Below are 4,414 nucleotides of genomic sequence, written 5' to 3' on the forward strand. Positions count from 1 at the left end.
CCCCCTGCTCTATGCATCCTTGGGACATGGTGCCCTGCATCCCAGCTGCTTGAGCTCCAGCCATGGCTAAAAGTAGCTAATGTACAGCTCAGGCCATTGCTTCAGAGGGTGCAAGCCTCAAGACTTGGTGGCTTACATGTGGTGTTGGGCCTGCCGATGCACAGAAGTCAAGAATTGAGGTTTGGGAAACTCTGCCTAGATTTCAGAGCACATATAGAAATGCCTGAATGTCCAGGCAGAAGTCTGCTGCAAAGTCAAAGCCCTCATGGAGAACCTCTGCTAGTGCAGTGTGGAAAGGAAATGTGGGTAGTAGCCACCACACAGAGTACCCACTGGGGCACTGCCTAGTGGAGCTGTGAGAAGAGGGCCACCATCCTCCAGACCCCAGAATGGTAGATCCACTGACAGCTTGCACCATGCACCTAAAAAAGCTGCAGATATTTAATGCTAGCATGTGAAAGCAGCCAGGAGTGGGGTTGTACCCTGAAAAGCCACAGGAACAGAGCTCCCCAGGGCCATGGGAGCCCACCTCTTGCATCAGCATGCCCTGGATGTGACATATGGAATCAAAGGTGGTCATTTTTGAACTTTAAGGTTTAATGACTACCCTACTGGGTTTCAGACTTGCATGGGCACCTGTAGCCCCTTTGTATTGGCCAATTTCTTTTATTTGGATTGGGTGTATTTACTTAATGCCTCTATCCCCATTGTATCTAGGAAGAAGTTAACTTGCTTTTGATTTTACAGGCTCATAGGTGGAAGAGGTCTTGTCTCAGATTAGACTTTGGACGTGGACTTTTAAGTTAATGCTGGAGTGAATTGGGACTTTGGGGGATTCTTGGAAGGGCATGATTATGTTTTGAAATGTGAGGACATGAGATTTGGGAGGGTCAGGGGTGGAATAATATGGTTTGGCTGTGTCCCCACCCAAATCTCATCTTGAATTGTAGTTCCCATAATCTCCACATGTCATGGGAGGGACCTGATGGGAGGTAATTGAAACATGAAGGTGGTTTCCCCCATGCTATTCTTGTGATAGTGAGTAAGTTCTCACAAGATCTGATGGTTTCATAAGGGGATTCATTTGGCTCTCATCCTTCTCCTTCCTGCTGCCACGTGAAGAAGGACATGATTGCTTCCCCTTCTGCTATGATCATAAGTTTCCTGAGGCCTCCTTCAGCCATGCTGAACTGTGAGTCAATTAAACCTCTTTCCTTTATAAATTATCCAGTCTCAGATATGTCTTTATTCGCAGTGTGAGAATAGACTAATACATGTGCAGTCTGAGTTGATAATGAGTTGGTGAAATTGAGTGGAGACCTTGTTACAAATGGAGCAAGGGAGAACAAAGAATGAAGAAGGGAACAAAATGGGTGAAGCTGATTGGAGACAAAAGTTACAAATTGAATCAGTGGGAACAAAAAATGGATTGGAGACAAATTGTTAAAAATAGAGCCAGTGGGGACAAAATATAAAGAAAGAAACAGAGATGGATGGTGGACTTGGGATTAAAAGAGATGAGATAATGAAATGGCCATATGCTTCAAAATGGAAAATTTAGAGCAGAATTAACCTCTGTCAACTTTTGGAAAAATTCTCCAGATTTACTTCAAGAGTTGTGGCAGTTGCCCCCCTCAAAAGAACTTGCCCATCTTAACTATTCTGTTGATGATATAATGAGCACTAAGTAAACCTTGGATAATAAGTAGATAATGTATAGTATACTGATGATAGTATATTCCAAAATGACATACTCTCTGCATGACAGTAATACTTTATACATATAAACTATTTCCCTTTATGTGTCTGAATCAAAGCCGGGTGGAGAATGAGATTCTTGTGGAAAAACCAATGCAGGAAGTGCCTAAACTTGGGTTGAACTGGAGGGTAGGGGACAGTGGCTTTTGATAGGAGAATTTTTTTCTCCTCATTATCTCTGGGGGGCAGAAAGGCAGGCATCCCTTGGAGCACCATGTTTGAGCAGACAGTAGGTTTACTACTGTCTTTTAAATGAATACATTTAAAAAACCTTTAAAAAATATGAGAATTGGAACAGTTAAGTAAGTAAAGAAAAGGAAACAGCAAAGCTAAGTCAGCCCATAGATGTCAGTAGAATCAAAAGGATCTGGCTAACAGGAAGTGGGATTCCAAGCTGCTCCCACTAACAAGAATAGGGTTTCATTGATGTTGCTTCTACGCTTTGTTTGAGGCAGAGGCTGTATAAGCCCATTCAGCAGGAATCTCGGCCTTTGGATTTCCATATCAAAGACAGACTGTAGTTCTCTGCTTGCCTTGGTGGCAGTCTGACAGCCAATATCCTACCTCAGATCAATGCACTCTGCCAGTCATGACCACAATGGGAACTTCCTAAGTTATCTGTGCTGAGAAATGTATTCTTTTCAAATTATTTGCGAGGCACATTTCAGCAGGGAGGAAAAACCCTCCAGCCTTTTGGCTCTGGAGGTGAGATGAGACTCTATTATCAGCTGAGCTCACCTCCCTCTATGTTTTCTTCTGGCATCAGAATTCAGCGGCATCTAAGAGTAAACAACTGTGAAAGCAAGGTATTTTGATATTTTCAGCTTTAACTATTGTTTCCAGCTCTTCAATTGATTTTGTAAAACGCACAAAGGCTCAAATGAGGATGAATTATTCTCTGGAGGCAGGCCACACTCAGAAAAGGTATCTAGTTTTCCTTCCTTCCCATCTCTCCTTCCCTCTTCTCTTCCTTTCATTCTTCCTTCCTCCTAATTTTTCTCCTTCCTTTTTTTAAAAAAATTCTTTTTATCTTGTTCTCTGCATAAAAAAGGGCACAGGAACAGCAACACATCATACAAATGTGATTATTATATTCCAGGAATCACTAGATGGCTTGGCCACAATGGACTTTCTCTAGGAAAGTTAAAGGAGAACTTCATTTATTGTACCATGTTATGATTAGTGTTGCTCCACTACACCCTCAAATAGTATTTTTAAGGCTCAAATTTTTATTGTAGACATAACTTTTAGATTTTGGACTATTAGAAGGGCCGAATCTTTCAAACAACTCTGGCTGCATTTGGATAGCAAAGACTTCTATGTCATTGAGTAATTAAGCCATGCATTCTTGTGCAGGATTATATGATAACCATTCATAACTTCTTAAGATCCTTTCCTCCTTTTGTTGCCATACCTTTACATCAGTGTTTCCCAGACTCTAAGTATCTAGGAACACTGGTGCTCCTTCTTTGAGAAGTAAGTAGGGGTAACTCTAGATAGGCAAGTATCTTACTTAGAAGTAAGTAGGGGTAACTCTACATAAGTCTCTGGTTGTGTAAGTTGGGGAAATGTCACAACATAGTCTAAAGTCCCATAAGGCAAATCTATATATCAAAGGCTCCATAAAGACCTGCAGTAAATAAAGCTTCTTAACTAGGTTAACCCACTGTTTCACTTAGAGATTTGACCAGAGAACATTAACTTGTGTGTTCTCCGCTAACAATTGTGAATCTAGGGCACTGTTTCAGTCTACTTTTCTCTTCTCTGACCATGCTACCTCTTGCCTCTGAATCTTCTTTCTCCTTTAATACCCAGACCTGGACTTTTTTCAGTGCTCAACTTTTGCTTCTAGGTCTTTTCTCCTGTGCATTGTTTTGAGAGTTTTATAAACTTCTGTGCATTTATACAGAATATAAACTCAACCCAGTGGAAGGTCTTGGTCCTTCTCTTTTGTTCCCATTTGCATTTCCAACTGATTTTCTTATAAATCCATGCAGAAGTCCCACCACTTCACTCTCCTCAACTGAACTAAATTCATCTTTTTTCTGCAATCTACTTTTCACTTCCAATCCCTCTATGTGTTAATGATACCACCATGCCGCCTTGACAGGAGGAAATCTTGAAGTCATGTTTAACTCCTTTTTCCCCTCTTGGAAATACGATTACTGACATTTCCCATACATATCTTAAGACCTCTTGCTTCTGTGGAGAAACATTTAACATTAAAAGGATGATAGCAGTCTTTATTTATTTACTTAAATATTTATACAAGTTTGAGGAGTCCAATCTGTGAAATTAAATAACTACAACTAATGGTTGGTATCATAAAATGTAAGTTAAATTGGAATAGCATTACTTAGGGAACTCTGTTGGAATTCTCTATCTTCCAGCCTCCCACCTACCCCAACTTAGAGTCCAAATAAACACATGAAGAAAATGAACATCAGAATAAAATTAAAAAGAAAGCAATACTCTTTCCCAAACTGGGAAAAAATGGAAGTTGGTGAGGGATACATTTTGAGCAACTGTAGGAACATAGAGAGGGGAGAATGCATTGAGTCAGTTATTGAGTCCAATGCTGATACATGCACTGCTCTGGCACGCAGCAGGGAGTCCTGGTGTCTGTGGCTGTAGGTTTTATTGGGGCAGCAATGCT

General features: G+C 40.8%; 1 annotated feature.

Moving 5' to 3' along the window:
- Window positions 1,927–2,547: an enhancer, noted in NCBI's record as "OCT4-NANOG hESC enhancer chr17:13044042-13044662 (GRCh37/hg19 assembly coordinates)". NCBI's record gives its function as "activates a minimal SCP1, AML or CMV promoter by ChIP-STARR-seq in primed H9 embryonic stem cells {active_cell/tissue: H9 hESC(primed)}" and the evidence as "EXISTENCE:reporter gene assay evidence [ECO:0000049][PMID:30033119]".

Source organism: Homo sapiens, chromosome 17 (genome assembly GCF_000001405.40).
Source record: "Homo sapiens chromosome 17, GRCh38.p14 Primary Assembly".
NCBI lineage: Eukaryota > Metazoa > Chordata > Mammalia > Primates > Hominidae > Homo > Homo sapiens.